At 42.5% G+C, this 26,952-nt stretch overlaps 3 protein-coding genes across 19 annotated transcripts in view, besides 1 other annotated feature; 2 read left to right on the forward strand and 1 right to left on the reverse strand.

Moving 5' to 3' along the window:
* SNAP23 (synaptosome associated protein 23) overlaps positions 1–4,797 on the forward strand; it is a 41,930-nt gene extending 37,133 nt beyond the window's left edge. For 7 of the 8 annotated variants that reach the window (XM_047433203.1, XM_017022694.2, XM_047433202.1 and 4 more), the window contains 3 exons: positions 1–159; positions 1,414–1,558; positions 3,152–4,797. In XM_047433203.1, the coding sequence (XP_047289159.1) occupies positions 1–159; positions 1,414–1,558; positions 3,152–3,217 (370 nt within the window). In that variant the 3' untranslated portion in view covers positions 3,218–4,797. The remainder of the gene's footprint in view (positions 160–1,413; positions 1,559–3,151) is intronic. The other variant, NM_130798.3, reaches the window with a different exon arrangement.
* LRRC57 (leucine rich repeat containing 57) lies at positions 66–20,532 on the reverse strand. 4 transcript variants are annotated; one of them, XM_011521423.4, is made up of 6 exons: positions 20,432–20,532; positions 20,090–20,195; positions 19,845–19,983; positions 19,000–19,268; positions 16,816–17,001; positions 66–240 (listed from the first exon to the last, which is right to left on the reverse strand). In XM_011521423.4, exons 2-6 carry the CDS (start codon positions 20,171–20,173, stop codon positions 211–213), a joined length of 708 nt encoding a protein of 235 aa, XP_011519725.1. In that variant the 5' UTR covers positions 20,174–20,195; positions 20,432–20,532; the 3' UTR covers positions 66–210. The 4 variants fall into 4 exon arrangements, with proteins under 4 accessions (XP_011519725.1, XP_011519726.1, NP_694992.2 ...); XM_011521424.4 differs by lacking the exon at positions 66–240 and adding an exon at positions 9,568–11,350; NM_153260.3 differs by lacking the exon at positions 66–240 and adding an exon at positions 9,568–15,863.
* Positions 20,368–20,837: an enhancer, noted in NCBI's record as "active region_9304". NCBI's record gives its function as "activates an Ori minimal core promoter by ATAC-STARR-seq in GM12878 lymphoblastoid cells {active_cell/tissue: GM12878}" and the evidence as "EXISTENCE:reporter gene assay evidence [ECO:0000049][PMID:35858748]".
* The window catches only part of HAUS2 (HAUS augmin like complex subunit 2), a 21,157-nt gene continuing 14,781 nt past the window's right edge, over positions 20,577–26,952 (forward strand). For all 7 annotated transcript variants that reach the window (NM_001323631.2, NM_018097.3, NM_001323630.2 and 4 more), the window contains exon 1: positions 20,577–20,704. Coding sequence is in view for 3 of the 7 variants with exons in the window: in NM_018097.3 (NP_060567.1) it covers positions 20,612–20,704 (93 nt within the window). In the remaining 4 variants the exon portion in view is untranslated. The remainder of the gene's footprint in view (positions 20,705–26,952) is intronic.

Genomic DNA, 26,952 nt, shown 5'->3' on the forward strand with positions numbered 1-26,952 from the left:
AACAAAGAACTTTGAGTCTGGCAAGGCTTATAAGACAACATGGGGAGATGGTGGAGAAAACTCACCTTGCAATGTAGTATCTAAACAGCCAGGCCCGGTGACAAATGGTCAGCTTCAGCAACCAACAACGGGAGCAGCCAGTGGTGGATACATTAAACGGTATGCCAACTCCTCCTGATATTCCTGTACCTTTCTTAATGAATGGTTCACTTAGGAGATGAGTTTAGCAGTACATGACCCCTAATAAAACAAATAAAAATTGTATTTATTCCATTTTTAAAATGCATTTAAAAATCTGCCCACTGACAAAATGTGGGTTTTTTTTATTTGTTGTTTTGTTTTGAGACAGAGTCTTGCTGTGTTGCCCAGGCTGGAGTGCAGTGGCGTGATCTCAGCTCACTGCAACCTCTGCCTCCCAGGTTCAAGTTATTCTCCTGCCTCAGCCTTCCGAGTAGCTGGGACTACAGGTGTGCGCCACCACGCCCAGCTAATTTTTGTATTTTTAGTAGAGACAGGGTTTCACCATGTTGACCAGGCTGGTCTTGGACTCCTGACCTCAGGTGATCCACCTGCCTCGGCCTCCCAAAGTGCTGGGATTACAGGCATAAGCTACCACACCTGGCCAGACAAAATGTTGACTGTGGTGGTTGACCTTGGGTGATGGAATTAACTTTTCTTTATACTTTTCAGTACTTTCCAAATTATTGAACTAGACATATTTTACTTTTATATATAGAAAAAAATAGGTTTTAAAATGTGTCATCTAGAACAAGGGTCAGCTAGATTCCTGTAAGAAGATCTGTAACGAGCCAGAGAGTTAATATTTCAGACTTTTCAGGCCATACAGTCCCTTGCAATTACTCAACTCTGTTGTAGGGTTAAAGCAGGCATAAACAATATGTAAACAAATGAGCACAGCTGTGTTTGAATAACACTTGATTTACAAAATCATATGGTGGCCAGATTTGGTCCTTGGGCCGTAGTTTTCCAACCTCTCTCTTAGGGCAGTGCTTCTTTAGATAGACTTAACTGTGCATTAGAACCACTTGAGGGGCTTATTAAACCGTAGGTTTCTGGGATGCACTTACAGTTTCTGATTGAGTAGGTCTGGAATGGAGTGTGAGAATTAGCATTCTCATGTCTAACAGCTTCCCAGGTGATGCTGGGAATTAAGCTTTGAGAAACACTGTTTCAGAGTTTCTTTCTTTTCTTACATGGCTTTAAGATACTGTGCTCTCTTTGATGAGTCTCCCAGTTTTTATTATAGAATGTTTCCCAGGAATGGTAACCTATATTCTTTTGGATCTTATACTTGCTGAGAGTCATTTTGGTTACTTACTTTTGTGAAAAGTAAATCCAGACTTTTATTTAAATTCAACAAAACCTATGGAATTAACTGTCTTCTTGTGATAGCATAACTAATGATGCCAGAGAAGATGAAATGGAAGAGAACCTGACTCAAGTGGGCAGTATCCTGGGAAATCTAAAAGACATGGCCCTGAACATAGGCAATGAGATTGATGCTCAAAATCCACAAATAAAACGAATCACAGACAAGGTAAAAGCTTTTTATTGCCACAAGAAAATGAGACACCCAGTTCAGTGTTTCAGTAATAGACATCTGTGCTAGATACTGTGGGGGACACGGTAGAATAAGCTCCTGTCCTCATAGGTCTTAATTCTGATGAGGTGGTGGTTCTAACACATAAAACAAGAGCCAAGTCCTCCCTGTCATGGTAGTTGGTGCATTTTGAAACCAGAGTTTTGGAATATAGTAGTTTTACTTAAACCTTCACACATGAAGCTTAGTATCTACTTTAGCTTTTGAGCGTGTTTTTTTCTCTCCCAAATGAGTTTTATTTTGTTAACTAATTTTTTAATTGAGAATGGGGTCTTGCTCTGTCGCCTAGGGTAGTGTGGTGGTACAATCACAGCTCACTGCAGCCTGCCTCCTAGGCTAAAGCGTTCCTCCCACATCAGCCTATTTTGTTAACTAAAAATAAATTAAGTTCCTGAATCCTCATCTCATGAAAGAGTCCGTAGGTGAAAATCTGTTCTGCAGAATAGTTCTTATGGAGTGGACACACGAAATAGAGTCATGTGAGTGAAAGAAAGTTGTGATTCTTTTTTTTCCCCCTTAACTTTACATGATATAAATATAGTGAAAGCGAAATTGTTTTCAGTGTTTTGATGTGTCACATGTAAAGTCATACCTTGGCCAACCGTGGTAGCTCACACCTGTAATCTCAACACTTTGAGAGGCGGAGGCAGGAGGATTGCTTGAGCTCAGGAGTTTGAGACCAGAGCAAGACCTCGACTCTACTAAAAAAATTTAAAAATTGACCAGGCATGGTGGCATGTGCCTATTGTCCCAGTTACTCGGGAGGCTGAGGCAGAAGGATTGCTTGAGTGTAGGAGTTGAAGGCTGCAGTGAGCTGTGATTGCACCATTGCATTCCAGCCTGGGCAACAGAGTGAGACCCTTTCTCAAAAAGAAAGGAAAAAAAGAAAGTCATACCTCATTAAAATCTCAGTGAACTTTAGGGTGAGTTTTTAAGCTTGGCTCTCTGTTAAATCACTTTTGATGGATTTAATTGAAACAGTGGTTCACAAGATGCTTTAAATGCTGCAGTCTGGGTTTAGGCTATATTTACCTGTCATTTTAATTCAGATGTTGGTGAGGATGGTAATAGATTCGTTTCAAAGATCTTTGGAAAGGTTATTTCAGTCTCTCCAGGTTAGACTTAGGGTGTCTGAATCCAGATGAGATTCTATGATTCAGTTCAGAGGACTCACACAAGGTCCAGATCTTTAACAGAGAAGAGCACTCTTTCATATTTCATTGCATCAAAAAATGCCATTGATTACAGGATGCATCCCAGTTTCAGGCATGTTAAACTATGAAAAAATGCGTTATAGAATTTATGAAATATTGGCAAGGTCTTATATGTTACACCTTTGTCATGTTTATATACCAGGGGTTTTCCAAATGAATTTCATATTCTGTTACTTCTTGCCCAACATGAGTTTTGTAATGTAACTTCACGTGGTTTCTTGGATTTTCTTGGTGTGTCAGTTACTCCAAGTGTAAAAAGTTTAATTTTTATTAGAGTTACTTACCTTGTAAAGCTGATATCTTTCTTGTTTTTCAGGCTGACACCAACAGAGATCGTATTGATATTGCCAATGCCAGAGCAAAGAAACTCATTGACAGCTAAAGCTACTGCTGTTCTTCTTTATCATTTATTCACTTCCGTAGCTCCTCCTTGAAAGTTATTACCTTTTCAGAGTTTAAGTTTTCGGTTCCACGCTCTTCTAATTGGGAGATAATATGGAAGAAGGGCCAGAGCAGTTACAGCCCTCCTTCTTTTTTGTTTTCTGTTGAGGGCCGACTGCTGCTCTGCCTTCCTTCTAGTATTTTCTTTCTCAATTCATACGCTTAGATTGGTTTTCATATGTCATGTTTAGTGTTTTCATCCTCCTCATATACTTCAGCAGGTTCTTTTGCTTTCAAGATTTGGAAGCATTGCCAAAGACAGCCATGAAGAAGGAAGCTGTAGAGGTGTTTTTTGTTGTTGTTTATTTTTGCTTTTGTGGTTGAGGGAAGGACAAGAGATAAGAGGTTGTTACCTCAGTAAAAACCTTCAGGCCACAAAGCAAAAAGTTGCATAGCCACAACGAAGATCTAGTTGGATATAGTTTTTGATTTAAGTTGCAGTTATAGCCAATTTAGGCTAATGCTTGGTTTTGGAGCTTTTATACACAACGTTTTTGTTAGGCATCACAGTTTTGCAACCTCTGCTCCAAAGAGAAAAATAGAATGAGTTTTCTTTCTTTTTTTTTTTTTTGGAGTCAGAGTCTCGCTCTCTTGTCCAGGCTGGAGTGCAATAGCGCGATCTGGGCTCACTGCAACCTCCGCCTCCCTGGTTCAAGCAATTCTCCTGCCTTGCCTCCTGAGTAGCTGGGATTACAGGCGTGTGTCACCACGCTCGGCTAATTTTTGTATTTTTAGTAGAGACAGGGTTTCACCATGTCAAGCTGGTCTTGGACTCCTGACGTCGTGATCCACCCGCCTTGGCCTCCCAAAGTACTGGGATTACAGGCGTGAGCCACTGTGCCTGGCTGAGTTTTCTTAAAGTGAGCTTAATTTCTGAACTCTTAGTGATTCATATATGTACATAAATCTGTGATCCCATTTCTTATTGCACCATTCAGGAACACTTTATATAAATGAGTGGCTTTTTATTTCATATTATTAGTAGTATCATGGTTCCATTACAGGCCTATTAACATCATACATTGTCATTAGTCTTTGAAGAAAAAATATGTAAATATATATGTGTAACATGAGAATTTCTCTCTAAAGCAGGGCTTAAAATTTTTTGGAAAAGTTTGACAAAGCATACCACATGAATTCAGATTTACCTCAATGCTAAGAATTATGTTTAGTTAGGAAAAAGGAAAGTCATTTTGACCTCAGGTAGAAAAATAGATTGCTTTGAGTTTTATGTAGCTTTAGACTTTAAAAAGTTAGAATTTATTCTGTAACTAAAAATTATTTGAAAAAATTATGCCTCTGGTTTAATTATTGGTGATTACACACTCTTTCTCTTACCCTTGTGTATTGAACTATGTCCATAATCAAGTTGATGTGGATCCTGAAAAGTGTTATGAACATCTGATTGGTATTTGTCACATTTATTTTAAAATTAGCATCTGAACACTTCAAAGCTGTCAGTGTGTATTGGTTTCACCAATAACCACTGCTTGATCCTTACAATTAAATTTTTTAACTAACTAATGGTATTGTTCTTTCAAATAGGTAACATGTTTCTATGACTGTTATTTGGGGGAAAATAGTTTCATCAGCTCTCATTTAACAAATTAATAAAGCAAAGATCCATACATCAAGAAACACTACAGCAGGAAGCTGCCTTTAGCATCTTTCCAGTATTTATTGAAAATATTGATGGGACTTAAACTTACCTTGCTAAAAATTTATTGTGAGGTTCATTTTAATCATTACTAGTCTTACTCACTTGAGCTTAAATACACTAGTGACTGGAAGGGTAATGGTTCTGTGTGAGAACTACAACTCACTGGAGAAGATACAGTTAATGTGGGAGCTTTCAAAGGCTAAAGAGGAAAATATTTAAATAAAGTGAGATGCAACTACACCCTCTGTAATAGAAATGCTCCATGTCAAAATGAGTGGTTTGGCAGGGATGGTAAATATGTAAAGTAAGGTGTAAAACGGAGGATTGTGCTTTACCTAAATGCCTTTCCTAAAACCATTTACCATAAAAAAAAATTTTAGCACTGTTCTGGATAAAGGAAATAGTTCTGAGAATACCAGCATGCTACACTCACAGTATGATTGGTTAGAAGCATGGGCTGAGGCATTATCTGAATTTTCACTCTAGCTGAAGTGACTGTAAGATCATTTCTGTGCCTTAATTTGTCTGTAAATGCAGATTAATACAAGCATACCTCAGATACTGAGGGTTCAGTTCTAGACCACTACCATAAAGCTAGTATTGCAATGAAGTGAGGCACATGAATTTTGGTTTCCCAGTGCATATAAAAGTTCTGTTTACACTATTCTGTAGTCTATTAAATGTGCAATAGCATTATGTCTTTAAAAAGCAATGTATATACCTTAATTTAAAATACTTTACCATGGGCCAGGCGCAGTGGCTCACGCCTGTAATCCTAGCACTTTGGGAGGCCAAGGCAGATGGATCACTTGAGGTCAGGAGTTTGAGACCAGCCTGGCCAACATGGTGAAACCACATCTGTACTAAACATACAGTTAGCTGGGTGTGGTGGCATGTGCCTGTAATTCCTCTACTGAAGTCTCTTTTTTGTTTGTTTTGTTTTGTTTTTTTGAGAAGGAGTCTTGCTCTGTCATCCAGGCTGGAGTGCAGTGGCGTGATCTGGGCTCACTGCAACCTCCACCTCTCGGGTTCAAGCGATTCTCCTGCCTCAGCCTCCTGAGTAGCTGGGATTACAGGCAGGCACCACCGTGCCCAGCTAATTTTTTTATCTTTAGTAGAGACAGGGTTTCACCACGTTGGTCAGGCTGGTCTCGAACTCCTGACCTTGTGATCTACCCGCCTCTGCCTCCGAAAGTGCTGGGGTTACAGGCGTGAGCCACCACACCCGGCCTCCTCCACTGAAGTCTTCAAACGCCCAGTCATCCATGAGGGTTGGAATCAACTTCTTCCAAACCCGTGTTAATGTTGGTATCTTGACCTCCTTTCATGAATCATGAATGTCCTTAACGGTATCCTTTCCAGAGGGTTTTCAGTTTACTTTGCCCATATCCATGAGAGGAATCACTATGGCAGCTATACCTTTATGACATTTATTTCTTAAGCAATAAGACTTGAAAGCTGAAATGACTCTTTGATCCAAGGGCTGTAGAATGGATATATTAGCAAGCATGAAAACAACACAACATTAATCTTGTACATCTTCATCAGAGCTCTTGGGTGACCATATACTCTGATGCTCACTATCAATAAGCAGTAAGATTTTGAAAAGAATACTTTTTTTTCTGAGCAGTACTTCTCAACAGTGGGTTTAAAATATTCAGTAAATCATGCTGTAAACAGATGTGTTATCATCCAGGTTTCATTGTTCCATTTATAGAGCACAGGTAGAGTAGACTTAGCATGATTCTTAAGGCCCCTATATTTTCAAAATGTTAAATGAGCAATGCCTTCAGCTTGAAGTCACCAGCTCTATTAGCCTCTAACAAGAGAGTCAGCCTGTCTTTTGAAACAAGCTAGGCATTGACTTCTCTCTAGCTATGGGAGTCCTAAATGGTGTCATTTTCCAATAGAAGGCAGTTTCATCTACATTGAAAAATCTATTGTTTACTGTAGCCACCATCATCATTATCTGGATAACTTGCTGCAGCTTCTCCATCAGCACTTGCTGCTTTATCTTACACTTTTATGTTAACAGATACAGCTTCTTCCCTTAAACCTCATGAACCAACCTTGGGTAACTTCCAACTTTTCTTCTGCAGCTTCCTCACCTCTCAGCCTTTATAGCATTGAAGGGAGTTAGGGCCTTGTGTTTACTGGAGTAGCACTTTTAACTTCCTTCAAGAACTTTTCCTTTGCATTCACCACTTGGTTAACCGGCGTAAGAGGCCTAGCCTTTAGCCTGTCTTGGCATTTTTTTTTTTTTTTTGAGACAGAGTCTTGCTCTGTCGTCCAGGCTGGAGTACAATGGTGCGATCTCAGCTCACTGCAACCTCTGTCTCCCGAGTAGCTGGGATTGCAGGTGTGTGCCACCATGTCTGGCTAGTTTTTGTATTTTTAGTAGAGACAGGGTTTTTGCCATGTTGGCGAGGCTGGTTCGAACTCCTGACCTCAGGTGATCCGCCCACCTCGGCCTCCCAAAGTGCAGGGATTACAGGTGTGAGCCAACGCGCCCGGCTATGACTCTTCTTTTCACTTGAACTTAAAGGCTATTGCAGGGCTATATATTGGCCTAATTTCAATATTCTGTCTCAGATTAGGGAGGCCCAAGGAGAGGAAAGTGATAAGGAATGGCTAGTTGTTGGAGCAGTCAGAACACACATTTCTCAATTAAGTCTGCCATCTTATGGCTTGGGCAAGAAGATGAGACCGTTTCTACAAAAAAATTTTAAAATTAGCCAGGTGTGGTGGTGCATATCTATAGTCCCAGCTACTGAGGAGGCTGAGATGGGATGATTGCTTGAGCCTAGGCGGTTGAGGCTGCAGCGAGCCATGATTGCGCCACTACACTCCAGCATGGGTGACAGAGCGAGACCCTGTCAAAAAAGTTTGCCATCTTATATTGGCATGGTTTGTGGCATCCCAAAACAGTTAAAATAGTACCATCGGTGATCACAGATCACCATAACATATCATAATAATGAAAAAGTTTGAAATATTGTGAGAATTTTCAAAATGTGAGACAAAGTGAGGACATGCTGTTGGAAAGATGGCACTGATAGACTTGCTCGATGTAGGGTTGCTACAAACTGTCTATTTGTGAAAAAACTTAATGGAGTGCAGTAAAATGAGGTATGCCTATAATTCCTACATAGCATTGTATTGCATAGAGTGGTAACACAGGTAAAGCACTTAGAACAGTTCCTGGCTAATGTAAGAGCTTAATAAGCAATAGCTGCTATTCTCTCTAAAGTGGAGCTCTTTCTGGTCAAGCATCTCTGTGAATTTGATGAAAGACAACATAGCCTCTCCCCAGAGAAACAGGCACACAAATGCAAATCATGCATAAGTGAGGTCCATAAATGGAGGTCTTGAAAGCCCGTCCATGGAACCCAGGTTGAAACTTTCCCACAGCTTCTGCTATTGAGAAAAAAGAGAGGTGAGGCCATCAAAATTAGACTCCATCATGCATTAGAAATGGCTGTTCACTTAAAGCCCTTTCTGATTTTCTCCCATAACATTGTCTGGAAACTTGATTCACTTTTGAAAGGTAGTAAATGGTTAACACAAGCTCTGGAGTCTGACCACCTGGGATCAAATTTTGGTTCATTCATTTACTTCTAGTTGTGTGGCCTTGAGCATAATACTGACCTATAACTAAAGAGGTAAAAAATTATATCCCCCACTGAGCTTGTTTTTTAACACTAAGCTCCCTCTTCAAGTTTCCAGTCTTATAACCATAATGATCTGTGTCCCCTATAGCCATGCCTATTTCTTTGCTTCAGTTTTAATTCATCTTTTGTTTCTATACTCTAAACCTTTCCATTTCATGTGTGGATTATGAGTCTGTCCTTAACTTAAACATCTATGGCCCAGACATCCTGAACTCAGTTGCACTTAGAATTAGCTTTTTAAAGACATACACTGTAGTCCCAGCTACTTGGGAGGCTGAGGCGGGAGGATCACTTGGGCTCAGGTGTTCAGGACCAGCCTGGGCAGCATAGTGAGATCCCATCTCTCTGTCTCTCTCTCTCTCTCTCACACACACACACACACACACACACACACACGCACGCACACATGGCCAAGAGGTATGTGAAAAAAATCTCAACACTGCTAATCATCATGGAAATGCAAATAAAACCTACAATGAGATGATCTCATTCCAGTTATCATGGCTATTATCAAAAGTGAGAAAATGCTGGCAAGGATGCTGAGAAAAGAGAACTAATTCCCACTTGGTGGCAATGTGAATGAGTGCAGCCACTATGGAAAACAAATATGGAGATCTCTCAGAAAACTAAAAATGGAATTACCATACTATCCAGCAATCATACTACTGGGTATTTATTGAAAGGAAAGGAAATCAATATATTAAAGGGATACCTGCACTCCCATGGTTATTGCAGCACTATTCATGATAGCAAAGATAATGGAATCAACCTAAGGGTCCATCAACAGATGAATGGATAAGGGAAATGTGTATATACACAGTGGAATACTATTCAGCCATAAAAAGAATGAAATCCTATTGTTTGCAGTGACATGAATACACTGGAGGTGTATCCAAGGAACTGGAGGTCATTGTGTTAAGTGAAATAATCCAGGCACAGAAAGACAAATACTGCATGTTCTTACTCATGTGAGCTAAAAAATTTATTTCATGGAGGTAGAGAGTAGAATGATAGTTACCAGAGGCTGGGTAGTGGGTGTACAGGGTGGGGCGATGAAGGAAGGTAGGTTAATGGGTAGATACAAACATACAGTTAGATAGAAGGAATAAGTTTTAATGCTTGATAGCATAGTACGGTGACTATACTTAATGTAAGTTTCAAAATGGCTAGAAGATTTGAAATGTTCCCAACACAAACAAATGATAAATGTTTGAGATAATGAATAACATAAATATCCTGACTTGATCATTATACATTCTATGCATGTCTCAGAATATCACAAGTACCCCATAAATATGAACAAATATATATCAGAAAAATAGTAAAGTGAAAAAGGAAAACAAAGTAGCTTATCTAAGTGCTGTTTTCTTTAGGTCACTCTTACCAAAACTTCAGGTTATCCCAATTACATTCCTAATCAGATTTTATTTCTCAGATTGATATTCAAGTTTCTCATCTAGTCATTTAAAAATTTATTTTTTCCATAAAGTAAAAGCAAGTTTATTAAAAAAGTAAAGGAATAAAAGAATGGCTACTCCATAGGCAGAGCAGCCTATTTTTTATTATTTTTTTGGAGCCACAATCTCACATTGTTGTCCAGGCTGGCCTCAAACTCCTAGGTTCAAGGGATCCTCCAGCCTCAGGCCTCCTCAATAGCTGGGACTATAGATGCCTGCCTCTGCCTGGCTCCATTTTTTTATCCTTTTAATGTAGTGTCCACTCCAAGCCTTCTATTTCTGTACAACTTGTAAAATTCTACTTTCATGCCTTATAGATGAGATAAATGGCATGATTTACTGAGTGCTTACTCTGTCATGGCCACTATGCTAAGTGCTTTTATATAGTTTTTTGCAACATACCTGAGAGGTAGGAGCTATTCCCTATATTTACAAGTGAGACGAAATTGCTCAAATTCATAAAGCTAATAAATGACGGACTCTGTATTCAAACCTGGATCTTTCTGACTCCAGGGCCCATAATTTTAATATACTACATTGCCTTCCAAACCAAGCTGTAAAAAATTTGGGTGACTTGGGCCAGATGTGGTGGCTCACACCTGTAATCCCAGCACTTTGGGAGGTAAGGCAGGATTGCTTGAGCCCAGGAGTTTGGGGCCAGCCTGGGGAACACAGGAAGACCCCGTCTTTCTAAAAAATTAAAAATTAGCTGAGTGTGGTGGCAGATAACCTGTAGCTCCAGCTACTTAAGAGGCTGAGGTGGGAGGAGATAGCTTGAGCCCAGGAGATCAAGGCATTTGTGAGCTGTGATCATGCCACTGCACTTCAGCCTGGGCAATAGAGCAAGACCCTGTCTCAAAAAATACATATAGGCTGGGCGTGGTGGCTAACACCTGTAATCCCAGCACTATGGGAAGCCAAGGCAGGGGGATCACCTGAGGCCAGGAGTCTGAGATAAGCCTGGCTAACATAGTGAAACCCCATTTTACTAAAAATACAAAAATTAGCTGGGCGTGGTGGTGGGCACCTGTAATCCCAGCTATTCAGGAGGCTGAGGCAGGAGAATTGCTAGAACTCAGGAAGTGGAGGTTGCAGTGACCCGAGATTGTGCCACTGCATTCCAACCTGGGCGAAACAGACAGCCTCTGTCTCAAAAAAAAAAAAAAAAAAAAAGAGACTTAAAAGCCAGGCAGTGGCTCACACCTGTAATCTCAATACTTTGGGAGGCCAAGATGGGAGGATCACTTGAGTCCAGTTTAAGACTAGCCCAGGCAACACAGCAAGATCTGTCGCAAAAAAAGAAAAAAAAAATTAGGTGACTTGGACTAGTGGCCAGATTCAAATCTGGGTCTTTAGACCACAAGCTAGTTTACTTGATTAGCTCATATTTAAATCTAAATCTTGTTTGCTGTAACTTTGGGCATATTACTGTATATAGCCCTTGCCCTCAAAGAGTTAGTCTATCATGAAAGATAAATATAGAATGTGAGAAGTGCTATAGTAACAGATGGGTGAGCAGTTAATTCGGCTTAGACGCAGGAAAGAGGCTTAGACATACAGAATGAGCATATTAATTAAGAGAGGGCAGGCTGGGCACGTTAGCTCACGCCTGCAATTCCCAGCATTTTGGGAGGCCAAGGCAGGTGGATCAACTGAGGTCAGGAGTTTGAGATCAGCCTGACCAACATGGTGAAACCCCGTCTCTACTAAAAATACAAAAATTAGCCAGGTGTGGTGGCACCTGCCTGTAATCCCAGCTACTCAGGAGGCTGAGGCAGGAGAATCACTTGAACCCGGGAGGCGGAGGTTGCAGTGAGCCAAGATCGCGCCATTGTACTCCAGCGTGGGCAAGAGTGAGCCTCTGGACCAAAAAAAAAAAAAAAAAGGGCATTCCCAACTGAGTGAACAATACAGTTGGCCCTAAGTATCCATGGGTTCCACATCTGTGGATTCAACTGCAGGTCAGAAATATTTGAGCGGGAAAATGCCTCAAATTTCTAAAAAACAAAACCTTAATTTAGCATGCATCAAATACTATGTTGAATCTATGCAAATGAAGTTATGTGTAGGCATATTAGGTATTATAAGTAATCTAGAGATAATTTAAAGTATCAGGAAGATACTATGTCATTTTGTATAAGGGACTTGAGCATCATGGACTTGGTATCCATGGAGGTATTGAAACCAATCCTCCATGGACACTGAGGGACAAGCTGTATAAAGGAGGTCAGAAAAGACTGCACTGTGGGTTTAGAGAGAATAATCTGATATGGGTGGGCAGGCAAATGAGAGTGAAGAAAGGGCAATAAGTCTAGGCCCAAATTGTGAAGGGTGGTAGTTGTGGATTCTGATAAGAGTGTGGATTAAACTCCAATTAATAATTAAATGGGAACATTTAAATTGTTAAATGTATAAGTTCTGGCCAGGCGTGGTGGCTCACGCCTGTAATCCCAGCCCTTTGGGAGACCAAGGCGGGTGGATCACCTGAGGTCAGGAGTTCGAGACTAGCCTGGCCAACATGGTGAAACCCCATCTCTACTAAAATACAAAAAATTAGCAGGGCGTGGTGGCGTGCGCCTGCCTGTAGTACCAGCTACTCAGGAGGCTGAGGCAGGAGAATTGCTTGAACCTGGGAGGCAGAGGTTGCAATGAGCCAAGATCGCACCACTGCACTCCAGCCTGGGTGAAAGAATGAGACTCCGTCTCAGAAAAAAAAAAAAAATGTATAAGTTCTGATTTATTAGATGAGAAGTACTGATAAAACACAGAAATGTTAATTGTTCAGTAGATCAATAAGATTAATAAACATTAAAATTTAGAAAAAACAAAACTCCTAAACTGGTATGGATAAACTAGTACCCCTTTCAAAGTGAGAAATAGAAAATGACATATGGGAGGCTGGGTGTGTTGGCTCCCACCTGTAATCCCAGCACTTTGGGAGGCTGAGGTGGGTGGATCACCTGAAGCCAGGAGTTCAAGACCAGTCTGGCCAACACGGTGAAACCCTGTCTCTACTAAAAATACAAAAATGAGCTGGGTGTGGTGGTGCATGCCTGTAATCCCAATTACTCAGGAGAATGAGGCACAAGAATCAGTTGAACCTGGTAGGTGGAGGTTGCAGTGAGCCAAGATAGTGCTACTGCGCTCCAGTCTGGAATGAAATTCTGTCTCAAAAAAGAAAGTAACATATGGGAAAAAGAGAACACCTAGACCAGATTTACGTCAGAAAGATTTTGTCGTGGAGGTTAAATAGTAGGTTTGTGTGATCTCTTGACTTAATGGATAAGCTAGGTTTAACCATTATTGAGAACTGTTGATATATAGTTAGTAATAGCTTTGTGACTAAGATAAAATCAGAAAATGACCAAAATGGTAGCTTTCTAAATGTTGATGTTAGTGGTAGTCTGAAATCCTCTACCTTTGTACCTTCAGATTCTTTTTTTTTTTTTTTTGAGATGGAGTCTGGCTCTGTCACCCAGGCTGGAGTGCAGTGGCAAGATCTCCGCTCACTGCAAGCTCCGCCTCCCGGGTTCACGCCATTCTCCTGCCTCAGCCTCCCATGTAGCTGAGACTACAGGCGCCCACCACTACGCCCGGCTAATTTTTTGTATTTTTAGTAGTGACAGGGTTTCACCGTGTTAGCCAGGATGGTCTCGATCTCTTGACCTCGTGATCTGCCCGCCTCGGCCTCCCAAAGTGCTGGGATTACAGGCGTGAGCCACCGCGCCCGGCCTTTTTTTTTTTTTTTGAGACGCAGTCTCACTCTATTGCCCAGGCTGGAGTTCAATGGCACCCTCACTGCAAGCTCCGCCTCCCGGTTTCAAGCAATTCTCCTGCCTCAGCCTCCTGAGTATCTGGGATTACAGGCACGTGCCACCACACCCAGCTAATTTTTGTATTTTTAGTAGAGATGGGGTATCACCACATTGGTCAGGCTGGTCTTGAACTCCTGACCTCGTGATCCACCCACCTCAGCCTCCCAAAGTGCTGGGATTACAGGCGTGAGCCACCGCGCCCAACCTCAGATTCTCTTAATAAGCATAGTTCTAGTATCACAAAATGTTTATGTCACATGAAGGCATTTCACTACTCATACAATCTGAACATAAGCATGAAACATGTCTTCCTAATCTATTTATAGGTTTAAGTTCTCCTGTCCTCCTCCTTTAAAGGATTAACCTTGCTTCCAGCCAAAGTTCATTAAAAAATTCTTTATTTAGTATATTCTGTCACTCAGAGAGTAAGCTTGATAAACATAGGTTGTTTTAAAATATTATAGTAATGGTTTATTGATAGGTAATTTGGTTAGTAGAGTTATAAATACAAAAAGGGAAAGGTTACCAGAAATAAGACATTATTTCTAACAAATCTTCAAGAAAATCTTGATTATTAAAGTCCCTTTTATCTTACAAGTGTTGCATATACAGTTTTGGCTCTTCAGAGCCCTCTACCAATAAGGCACCTGCAATAGTAGATAATTTGCTACCGCAGCCTTAGAGAGCAGTTCTTAGAGGTCTGCTGGTGCTTCTCTTGACAAAGCACACTTTTTTTTTGTTTCCCCCGAGACAGAGTCTTGCTCTGTTGCCCAGAGTCGGAGTGCAATGGCATGATCTCGGCTCACTGCAACCTCTGCCTCCTGGGTTCAAGCAATTCTCCTGCCTCAGCCTCCCAAGTAGCTGGGATTACAGGTACCCACCACCACGCCCAGCTAATTTTTGTATTTTCAGTAGAGACAGGGTTTCACCATGTTGGCCAGGCTGGTCTCGAACTCCTAACCTCGTGATCTGCCTGCCTTGGCCTCCCAATGTGCTGGGATTACAGGCGTGAGTCGCCGTGCCCAGCCAACAAAGCGTACTTTAAAAAAAAAAAATTATTTTTTATTTTTTTAATTTGAGACAGAGTCTCACTCTGTCACCCACGCTGGAGTACAGTGGCATAATCTCGGCTCACTGCAACCTCCACCTCCTGGGTTCAAGCGATTCTCCTGCCTCAGCCTCCCAAGTAGCTGGGATTATAAGCATGCACCAACACACCCAGCTAATTTTTGTATTTTTAGTAGAGACAGGGTTTCCTCATGTTGGCCACGCTAGTCTTGAACTCCTAGCCTCAAGTGAGCCACCCGCCTTGGCCTCCCAAAGTGCTGGGATTATAGGCATGAGCCACCATGCCCAGGCCAAAGTGCACTTTTAATCAAGACAAACAGTCACACATTTATGTACATCCTAAAGTCCTAGTATAAAAACTGCGACTGAACTGATGGACTAGAATAAAAATAATAAATCCTTAGATCCATGCCAGCCTCTCACAAATTATCTGAATTTCATAAAAATATGAAGTGTTAACACAGAGATGGAATGGCAACAGACTTTATGAAAGCTCACACAGTGAAACTAAACAAAATCTCAAGCTGTGGTGTGGAGCTATTCTGTTACCAGGCAGCACCCCCTCACCATATAAATAGCAGCTAGCTACTGGTTTCTTAAAGCCAAACTAATGATGGTTTTGAAGAGAACCTTGTCTATTGCCCTACTCATGACTCAAAACGGAAGACTTTTCCTGTCTCCTGATCCTTTTTCTTTTAGCTTATTTGAGAAGAGCCCTGAAATGAGAAAAGATCATTGAGTGAAATATAATCTCCTGAAGTATCATCTCCTTACTGTAGATACCCCTAACAACAACAGGAGGCTTTGACTCAGCCACATTCCAACAGAGGTTCTAAGTCAGTATCCTGTAAGGTTTCCATAGTCCTGGAGAACTTCACGCAAACTTCTTCTTGGTGGCTGTGAACCTCTCCATGTACTAAAAAACATGAAAGAATACATAAGGGGTATTTTGGCATGAGTAAATAAATATAAGCCTAACTATTTTTTTTTTCATTTTGGTTTTTATTGCATGTGGTTTTTCATTTCCTACAAAATATAACTGCTGTAAATGCAAAATGAATTACATAGTTTTGGCCAGGTGCAGAGGCTCACACTTGCAATCTCAACACTTTGGGAGGCCAAGGTAGGTGGATCGCTTGAGCCTAGGAGTTTCAGACCAGCCTGAGCAATCTACCAAAAATAGAAAAATGAGGCATGGTAGCGCCTGTAGTCTCAGCTAATCAGGAGGTTGAGATGGGAGGATCACTTGAGCTGAGATCCTGCCACTGCACTCCAGCCAGGTGACAGAGTGAGACCTTGCCTCCAAAAAAAATAAATAAATAAAGCACATAGGGCCGGGTGTGGTGGCTTACACCTGTAATCCCAGCACCTTGGGAGGCTGCGGCGGGCAGATCACTTCAGCCCAGGAGTTTGAGACCAGCTTGGCGAACAAGGCAAAACCCCATCCCTGCAAAAGTTAGCAAGGCATACTGGCACACGACTGTGATCCCAGCTACTAGGGGGGCTGAGGGATGAGAATCGCTTGAGCCCAGGAGGTGAAGGCTGCGCCAGTGAGCTGAGATTGCGCCACTGCACTCCAGCCTGGGCGACAGAGTGAGACCCTGTCTCACACACACACACACACACACACACACTATATATATATATATATCAAAAGACAAAGATGAAGACAAAGATGCTTTACAATAAGCTGTCTATAGAGAAAAAGTCATCTTGGTACAATACCATTCAGCCAATGCTTTGAATCTACTTCCAAAATGGGGAAGAACAAATCCTGTTGACATGAGCTATAAACATTTCTGTGGATTACTTCACCATTGTCTTCTCTGGGGTAGTGACTAGAAATGCAGAAGTACATTAATTCATACCTTATCATAGCCTTCCAGTTCTCGAAGTTTCTTTATTTCAAAAAGATTGCCTTCCACAGCAAGCAGACAGATCTGGGAATCACTGAGGATGCTCTGGGGAAGCATGCTGAGCTCAAGACAATTCTCTTCCAGGCGAAGAATTTTAAGGCGTGGACAGCAAGATATCTTCACTGAGATCTGAGATATCTATTGAAAAACCACAAAAGAATAACAGGAAAAAGCATAAGCACTATACTGGTTACTTTTAGTACATTAAAACAAAACAAAAATCTTTACTTGACTATTTGTTCTAGTTTTCCCCTCTTTTACCACCTCCATTTTCTCACTGCCTACTCACTCCAGAAGCCTCTGTTATCTAGCTTCTGTTACTACGCCCCCACTTAAAAAAAATGCTTTTATGAAGGTCACCCATGGCTTTTTGGGAACAAAATTTTCTGATGATAAAAGCACTGTATGTTCATTATAGAAAATTTGAGAATCACAGGTTTAAAGAAAAAAGTTTACCTGGAATCCACCACCCAGAAATAACCACCATAAACATTTTGGTACATTTACTGCCAATGTTTTATGTGTACATAGATACTGACCACTTTACTACCAAATTCAAGGATCCATTGTCCTCAGTCCCTACTGCATTTAACTGTACTATCTATCCCTTCCTTAAAACCCCTTATTTTTGTCCTTTTTTGGTTTTTCTTCCTATCTTTTGGATTCTTCCTTACTTCTCTTGTTTTTATGGGCATTTTTCAAGTAGCTGTCTGTAATACTTCATATGTCATCTTCTCTCTAAACTTCTTCTAGAAAGCTCATTCATTAAAGTCCATCACTTTTGTTATGACCTCAAGATCTGTATCTATACTCTTACCTCTATTCTGCTCCCACGTTTCCAACTTTCAGTAAGATATTTCCATTTACAAGATTCACCACAGACAACTCAGCATGTCCATTCTCAATAGCACTACTGTTCCTTTAGGCCCTCAAGCTCAATACCAAGCAATTGTCTTTGACTCACCCCTTTTGCCATTTAAATACTAAAAGTCACCAAATTATTTGATTCTGCCCAGTATCATCTCAGACCATCACTTATTAGAAATCATGGGAACTTTAATAAGTTCAATAACTAGCAATGCAAGTTCTCAGACCTCATCCCAGCCCTACTGGATCAGAAACACTGAGGGTAGGGGGCTAGTGATCTCTTTAAACAAGCTTTTCTGGTTAATTCTGATGCATACTAAACTTAGAGAACCACTGAATAAAGGTACTGGCAGAGGTGAATGTGGAGCAAATCCTCAACTAATACTTGCTGCTTAATTGATTCAGTTTTTTTTTTCCCCCAAGAAGCTCTATAACATACAAGAATATCCACTTAAGGTAAAAAAACATGAGGCCAATTCCTCAAAGACAGACTGAATTTCATCATGATGTAAAATCACTACAATCTAGAAAAGTAATAACCACATGCAGCTTCTGGCCACTTTAATGGACCATGCAGATCTAGAAATACAGACACTAGAAAACTAAAGGCCATCCAGTCTCACAGTGTTTAATATTTCATCACTTGTGCCTTCATGCCTAGACAAGAATCTTTGGATTGGTTTTCCAGACAAATATTAATTGAAAGCTTCCAAAGTAATGGAAACAAATTTCAAATATTATAATTAAAGCTGTACAACAGTGAAATGGGCTATCTCCAGAAAGCCTATCACTTAATATTCTTCAGCAAAAGGAGACACACTTTGTAACAAAGATGTCAAAACCCCACACAAAACGAAAAACAAAACTGAATTACCTCTGACTCCCGACTCTGAGAACCTCAGTTTAGGCCTCATTTCCACATTATATCCCTGACATAGCTCCTGGCTAGCTGGTTAGGGGCATATATTTGAGGAGGATCTGAAGAAGTCTTCAAGATTTGTGAGACAGTAGTTTAACTTTTGAAATGATCTCTCCCTGTTACCTACCCCACCCTCCCCAAAACACCTACACAACTAACACATCCAGTGTCTCAACTAATTCCATGGCACTTTGGGCCTTGAAATTAGTTCAGCCTATAGAAGAAACCTCTCATTTAGCCTCTGATACTTAGCTCTATGATGGCAGTTTAGGAAACAAGAGGTTAACAGGTATCAGGAGACCTTAAAGCCACACATATGCTGTAGGAAAAAAAACCTTAAAGCTCTAGACCTGATTCTGGTTGAGGTTGAGTTCGATGACTTGCAGCTCTCCCACTGAGTCAGGTATACTTCGAATCTGGTTCTTAGAGAGATCCATCACATCCAGGTGCCGTAGGCTACAAAGTTGGGGAGGTAATGCTCCCAGTTGGTTCCCAGAGAGGCTCAGGGTCTTGAGGGCAGAGAGTTGCCCAAAGGTAGACGGCAGCTCTCTAAGGTGATTGTTGTTTAGGCTTAGCGTCTCTAGTTTTTTCAGATTGCATATCTCATCAGGCAGAACAGCTGGCAAAGAAAAATTTTTTTAAAACCTGAATGTGATAGAGCTGAAAACAACTTTGATGAAGTTTATAAAGACTATATGGCAGCCTGCTTCGCCTCTTGTTAATATATGTAAAACTCCCACATGTGCCATTTTTAGATATTGCATTTTACCAACATAGTCTTTAGAAGGTGAGGGTGCCATCAAAATGCCGGAGAGCATTTGTGTGTATAATGGGCTCCTTTTGTAAAGGGGCCCAAGGCACAATCCGACAGCAATTTTGTGATATTTGGAAGATCCTCCCCTTCTCATCCATCCCCCATTCCAAGTTAGGTAGCTTTGTTTACATTACATCCCCAAAATGTTCTTCTCTTTCAAGTCCAAATTAACCCAGTAACAATCATTATAACACCCAATCATTATAAGGCTTATTTTAGATGTAATTACAAGAAGTAGAAAGAAGGCTTCAAGGATTCCGGCATTCGCAACTTGAGCCCTCCTGCACGGTTTCATAACAAAAACAAAAATCAGCTTGTAAGAGAAAACCACCCCTGGTAACAGCTGATCACTAGCAAAAGCCTCCCTGGCGAGAGCCATACTCAGTTTGTTGTTGTTCAGGGAGAGGCTCTTCAGCAGAGTGAACTTTCCTATCAGCAAAGGCGGTAGGCTTTCGATCTTGTTGTTGGACAAGTCGATGGTCCTGAGATTGCTCGTCAGCTTCTGCAAGTCTGCGGGGAACTGGAGAAAGGAGTTCACAGCGTGGGGAATCCCGCACCGACTAAGTTCGCCGCCCCCGCCGTCCCTCTCCCTTTAAGTTCCCTGGTCGTGTCCCTCCCAGTCTCACCTCGGTCAGCCCTCGGTCCTTAAGCTGAAAGACACCAGTTTTCTGCGCCGTTTCCACATGAGCGCGGAGCGCACTGTTTCCCATCCTAGCGCCGCGGCTCAGGTCCCTGCGGGAAGGAAGCGCTGCTGTCACCGCCCAGTCCACCCGGTCGGCCTCCCGGCTGGGGCTCCTGCCCCAGCTCTCAACTCCCGCCGATCCCTGGCTCCTGGGGCCCGACCCAAGAGCGACAAGGAAGAAACGGAAGAACACACAGCCCGACCACCAAGCCCTGCCGCCTTTGCAGCTCTGCGGAGGCCAGGCGCCTCTGGGAGCCTACGGAAGATCAGGGAGCCCCGGACTCGCCTCCCACCGCTCAGCTGCCGTAAGGCTCCGCAGGTGAAGACCCAGGACCCGCAGTAGCCGGGATGCGCTCCCCGGCTTAGTCCCGGGCGGGAACGCCCTGTGACGTCATCGAGCCGCGCCGTGCGTTCGCCCTGCGATCCCGCTCACTCTTGGCGCCTTCGCGGAAGGTGCGTCCGAGCCATGGCCGCTGCCAACCCGTGGGACCCGGCGTCCGCGCCTAACGGCGCTGGGCTAGTGCTAGGCCACTTCATAGCTTCGGGGATGGTCAATCAGGTACGTGGGGGTGGCGGTGGTGTCATCAAGGGGGTGCCCAAGGTGGCAACAATATGGCTGTGAGTTGGTGCTGCTGGCTGTGGGAGTGGTGAGGGTCCTGGTTGGGGTCTGTACTAGAGTAATAAGAGCCCCTTCCAGGCAACAGCCGCGAACGTTCTGCCGTGGATGCTTGGAAAGCGGGGATCTGAGTAGATGGTGTTTAGGGTAGACTGTGTTTTGAGTGTCTGTAGGGTAAATTTGTCCCAGTCCAGTTTGTGGGAGATTAGACTGTTACCAGCCTTTTTTTCATCCAGTGATACTGCCTCTAGACTGTAGTGTAAGGGCGGGGATGGGAAATACGGGTCGTTCTGTCCCCTTGCGGAACAAGCATTTCCAACAACCCTCGTTTGTGGGAAGTGTTGAATCGTATTTGGGGCGGGAGGTGCTGGGTAGAGAAGAGCGCCAGAAGCTCTTTTTTGACATTTTTATTTTATTTTATTATTTATTTATTTATTTATATGAGACAGAGTCTCGCTCTAACGCCCAGGCTGGAGTGCAGTGGCGTGGTCTCGGCTCACTGCAACCTCCGCCTTCCTGGTTCAAGCGATTCTCCTGCCTCAGCCTCTGGAGTAGCTGGGACTACAGGCGCCCACCACCACACCCAGCTAATTTTTTTTTGTATGTTTAGTAGAGACGGGGTTTCACCTTGTAAGCCAGGATGGTCCCGATCTCCTGACCTCGTGATCCACCCGCCTCGGCCTCCCAAAGTGCTGGGATTACAGGCGTGAGCCACCGCGCCCGGCCTTGGCATCTTTAAAGGCAAAAAAAAAAAAAAAAAAAAAAAAGTATTGGCTAAAAAGATAAGACCTTGGAACGTGAATGGAGGAAGAGATTAATTTTGAGAAGGAGAGAAAAGAGACATTAACCCAAGGAGTCACGGAGTGGCAGTTTTAGGTTGGGCAAGAGGAGCATGTCGGAGGAAGGAGCCAACAGAGGGAGAAATTGAACATGTGAGGAAATAATGGAATGCAGTGACAGGAGGGCATGGGGCAAGTGGGATCAAGGGCATTGAGAAAAATGGGGAAATAAATTTTGATATATAGAGGAAGTTGAGAAATTTCACTAAAAAGAAAACAGAAAAGTTAAACTGATCTGTAAAAATCAGCACATATTAGCCGGCATGGTGGCGTACACCTGTAGTCCCAACTACTCCGCGGACCACATGGGTCCTGGAGGCTCAGATGGGAAGATGGCTTGAGCTTAAGAGATGGAGGTTGCAGTGAGATGCGATCGGGCCACTGCACTTAGCCTGGGCGACAGAGTGAGACCCTGTCTCAGGGAAAAAAAAAAAAAAAAAAGCACTACAAACATGATGGAAGATTTACGGAAAATACATAACTTTTTATAGTCAGAAGAGCCATTAGAGACTCTAATACCTTACAGTATTTTTTAATTTAAGAAACTAAGGCTTAGACCAAGAAACTTGCCCATGGTCACTAGACTGTTAAAGGAGAATTAGATCTTAGTACTCTCCCTTTTGACACATTGTATCCCCTCTCAAGATGAACTGTTATAAGAGGCTGTGATACTGTATTAAAAGATTTTAAGCTTTTGTTGAACACCCATTGTCTGGGTGATGGGGAGATTCAGGTGGTCCTAGTTGACTAACTTTACCAGGAGTGACCACAGCACTCTACAGTGTAATCCTTCCTCCCTTCTCTCCTGTGTTTTCTTTTTTTTTTGAGACGGAGTCTCGCTCTGTTGCCCAGGCTGGAGTGCAGTGGCACAGTCTTGGCTCACTGCAAGCTCCACCTCCTGGGTTCATGCCATTCTCCTGCCTCAGCCTCATGAGTAGCTGGGACTACAGGTGCTCACCACCTCACCCGGCTAATTTTTGTATTTTTAGTAGAAATGGGGTTTCACCATGTTAGCCAGGATGGTCTCGATCTCCTGACCTCGTGATCTGCCTGCCTCTGCCTCCCAAAGTGCTGGGATTACAGGCGTGAGCCACTGCACCCGGCCCTCTCCTGTATTTTCTTTTTCTTTTCTTTTCTTTTTTTTTTTTTTCTGAGACATAGTCTCCCTCTGTTGCCCAGGCTGGAGTGCAGTGGTGTGATCTTGGCTCACTGTACCCTCTGCCACCTGGGTTCAATCAATTCTCGTGCTCCCGAGTAGCTGGGACTACAGGCACCTGCCATCACACCTGCTAATTTTCATATTTTCAGTAGAGACGGGGTTTCACCATTTTGGCCAGGGTAGTCTCAAACTCCTGATCTCAGGTGATCTGCCTGTCTCGGCCTCCCAAAGTACTGGGAGCTGAACCCAGCCTTTTTCTTCTTATCAGGTTACCTAGTACTCTCACTTGTATTGTCCAGTTCTCCTGTCACAAAATAGTTTGGCAAACTCATAATAGAAAACATTTTTGAGGGTTCACTCCTGTAATCCCAACACTTTGGGAGGCCGAGGCGGGTGGATCACCTGAGGTCAGGAGTTTGAGATCAGCTGGGCCAACATGGTGAAACCCAGTCTCTACTACAAATACAAAAATCAGCCGGGTATAGTGGTAGGTGCCTGTAATCCCAGCTACTCGGGAAGCCGAGACATGAGAATCGCTTGAGCCCTGGAGGTGGAGATTGCAGTGAGCAAAGATCGTGCCACTGCACTCCAGCCTGGGTGACACAGTAAGACCCTGTCTCAAAAAAAAACAACCCCCCAACTTTTGGTACTTGGTATCCCTCTAAAGAGCATTGGTAGGAAATACAAATGCCTAAACCAAAGGAGTAAGGCACTGGTGACAGAATTTCAGGCATTGATGGGTGAACTCTTTTTTGGGGGTGGTGGTTGTCTTGGGGGTGTCTACTGTCTCTCAAGTAACATTAATTAGACAGTTACTGGTTTTACCTACAGTTAACATGTCCCACTCCATAGCTCCTTAAGATCCCACTCCATAGCTCCTTAAGACTTCTGACAACCTTACTACACAGCTAGTCCCAATGAGGGAGCTATTTACAGACTTGTAGGTTGGTTTTACTTTAAGCAAACTTTATACATAAAAACTTTTGTCTCTTTTTTTTTGTTTTTTTTGTTTTTTTCCCTGAGACAGAGTCTCACTCTGTTGCCCAGGCTGGAGTACAGTGGCACAATCTTGGCTCACTGCAACCTCCGCCTCCTTGGTTCAAGCAATTCTCCTGCCTCAGCTTCCTGAGTACCTGAGATTACAGGCGCGCACCACCACGCCCGGCTAATTTTTTTAATTTTTAGTAGAGATGGGGTTTCACCATATTGGTCAGGCTGGTCTCGAACTCCTGACCTCAAATGATCCACCCGCCTCGGCCTCCCAAAGTGCCGGGATTACAGGCATGAGCCACTACACCCAGCCAAAAACCTTTTCCTATTAGAAGGATTTAGCATTGATTCTTTCAAAATGATTTGTCACGTCATCCCTTCAAACAGCCCATCCCTTTAATGCACATCATTTTTTGTGCATTAAAAATTAAGACTATTGAGTTCCTGCTGGCAAGGATTTTTTAAAAATTGAGTGATTCCTAAAATTGTGATTTGATACAACTCTTCTAGAAAACATAGCTTGTTTGAAGTTTTGTTTCAATCTGTTAGAGAGTGATTTGGTGAAAGAAAGGTAGGGCTATCTGTAGGATAATGGGGTATTGCTTTAGTTTATTCCCCTAGGGACTGCTTTAGTGGCCTTACATTCTAGATATTTTTCCAGCAAGTGTGAGTGAGTCATGGAGTCTTGACCAAAGCTTGATCATTGCTTATTGGCAATTAATAAGATCAGGGTCTGGATCTACCAAAAAACCCACAGAATCTACTAATTCTGTTTTCTTAACTTGTGTCCTACTCTCCTCTATACCTCTTCTCCCATTTGAGAGCCTCTGCTCTTAAATTCTCTGCTATACTACCTCCCTTTTAATGTCCCTCAGCTAGAATTCAGTATGAAAAGGAAGGGATAGGAAAAAGAAGAAAGAGTGCCCACCAATTACAAGTTTATACATACATATATGGTATATAATGTTACCAGGATTTTTTTTTTTTTTTTTTGAGATGGAGTTTCGCTCTTACTGCCCAGGGTGGAGTGCAATGGCACGATCTCAGCTCACCACAACCTCCGCCTCCCGGGTTCAAGCAATGCTCCTGCCTCAGCCTCCCAAGTAGCTGAGATTACAGGCACATACCACCACGCCCGGCTAATTTTTGTATTTTTAGTAGAGACGGGGTTTCACCATGTTGGTCAGGCAGTTCTCGAACTCCTGACCTCATGATCCACCTGCCTCGGCCTCCCAAAGTGCTGGGATTACAGGCCAGGATTTTTATATTAAGTATAAAGGTTCTGGATTTGAGCTTCTTCTTGTGCCTAGCCACGGAATAAACAGAAATACCCTGAATAGACTCCTTTTTCTCAGGATCCTTTCATTTTCAGGGTTCTTTTGCCCTTTGGGGCATGTAATAGCAATATATAGTAACAATAGCTAAAGGAAAAGACTTTTCTGTATTCCCCAATCCCTGATACTTTTTTCTTTTTTTTTTTAAATGTGTTAAACTAAGTCTCAATCCTCAAATAGTTGTACTTCCTATTTATTATGGAAAATAAGCCTCCACCTCCCTAAGTGCAGGGATTACAGGTGAGAGCCACTGCACCTGACCCTCTTTCTTTCTTCTCTCCTTTTTTGTTATCTGCTTCTTAAACATTCTTATTTTTCCTCTGGTTTCTCTTGCATGTTCTTAGCTAAGCACCATTACTCTATTGTTGAACCCGACAGTTTACTAGTTTGCCAGATGTACAACTAAGATTAGTGTGTAAGCATGGAGAGAGGGAGATATACCAGTGAACAGGTTGGTTACAATGTGATAAATTGTAGAAAATATTTTACTTTCATTTACCTCCTGAGAGAAACAAAGAAAAAAGGGTCAGCTGATATGATGGAAGGGCAGTGGATTAGATGTGTTCTCACTTCCATCTTGGCACACACTGGCAGTGTGAAGTTGGAGTAATACTTTCCTGTTCCTCAATTTTGCCATCAGTAAAATATCTTGTGTTATCTACTTCAGTGAATGGCATAACTCTGTCCACTCACCTGAAGCAAAATCCTTAGAGTATTAACTGGATTTTATCCCTTACCATATCAACTAAGATTTGTCAATTCCATCTTTGCAGGAACTCCCATCTTTTCTTCCTTTCCTTTTTAACTGTTACTGACCTAGTCCACATTCTCATCCTTACCTGGAATACTGTAGCAGCCACCTGTTTAAATATCCAACCTCTCCAGTCTATTTCTCCACTAGTGTTTTTTCTTTATGTTAGCTAGTTACCAGGGTTTTCCTTCTTTTTTTTTTATTGTGGTAAAATACATATAACATAAAATTTACTATTTTAACTGTCTTAAAATGTACACTTCAGTGGCATTTACTATACTCAATATTGTGCAACTATTTTCAAAAACATCTTTATCACTCCAGATGTAAACTCTGTACTATTCCCTATTCCCTCCTCCCTCTTCATTAGTGTTTTTATTTTGTTTGTTTTGTAGGTGTATTTTTTTTTTTTTAAGAGAGAGTCTCTCTGTGTTGTTCAGGCTGGAGTGCAGTAGTGCGCTCACAGCTTACTGCAGCCTCAGCCTCCTGGGCTCAAGTGATTCTCCCATCTCAGCCTCCCTAGTAGCTGGGATTACAGGCATATGTCATCATGCCTGGCTGATTTTTGTATTTTTAGTAGAGACAGGGTTTCACCATGTTGGCCAGGCTGGTCTCCAACTTCTGATCTCAGGTGATCTACCCCCTCGGCCTCCCAAAGTGCTGGGATTACAGGTGTGAGCCACCACGCCCAGCCAGTTTTATTTTTCATACTGCCCCAGTTAAATATCCCCACCTTCCCCGCCGCCGCTGAGACAGGGTCTCACTCTGTTGCCCAGGCTGGAGTTGCAGTAGCATGATCACAGCTCACTACAGCCTCAATCTCCCAGGCTCAAGGGATCTTCCCACCCCAGCCTCCCAAGTAGCTGGGACTATAGGCACATGTCACCATGCCTGGCTAATTTTTTTTTTTTTTGAGACAGAGTCTCTCTCTGTCATCAGGCTGGAGTGCAATGGCGTGATCTCTGCTCACTGCAACCTTCGCCTCCTGGGTTCAAGCGATTCTCCTGTCACAGCCTCCCGAGTAGCTGGGACTACAGGCACGCCACCACACCCAGCTAATTTTTGTATTATTAGTAGAGATGGGGTTTCACCATGTTGGCCAGGATGGTCTCGATCTC

Source organism: Homo sapiens, chromosome 15 (assembly GCF_000001405.40).
Source record: "Homo sapiens chromosome 15, GRCh38.p14 Primary Assembly".
In the NCBI taxonomy this organism is placed as follows: Eukaryota; Metazoa; Chordata; class Mammalia; order Primates; family Hominidae; genus Homo; species Homo sapiens.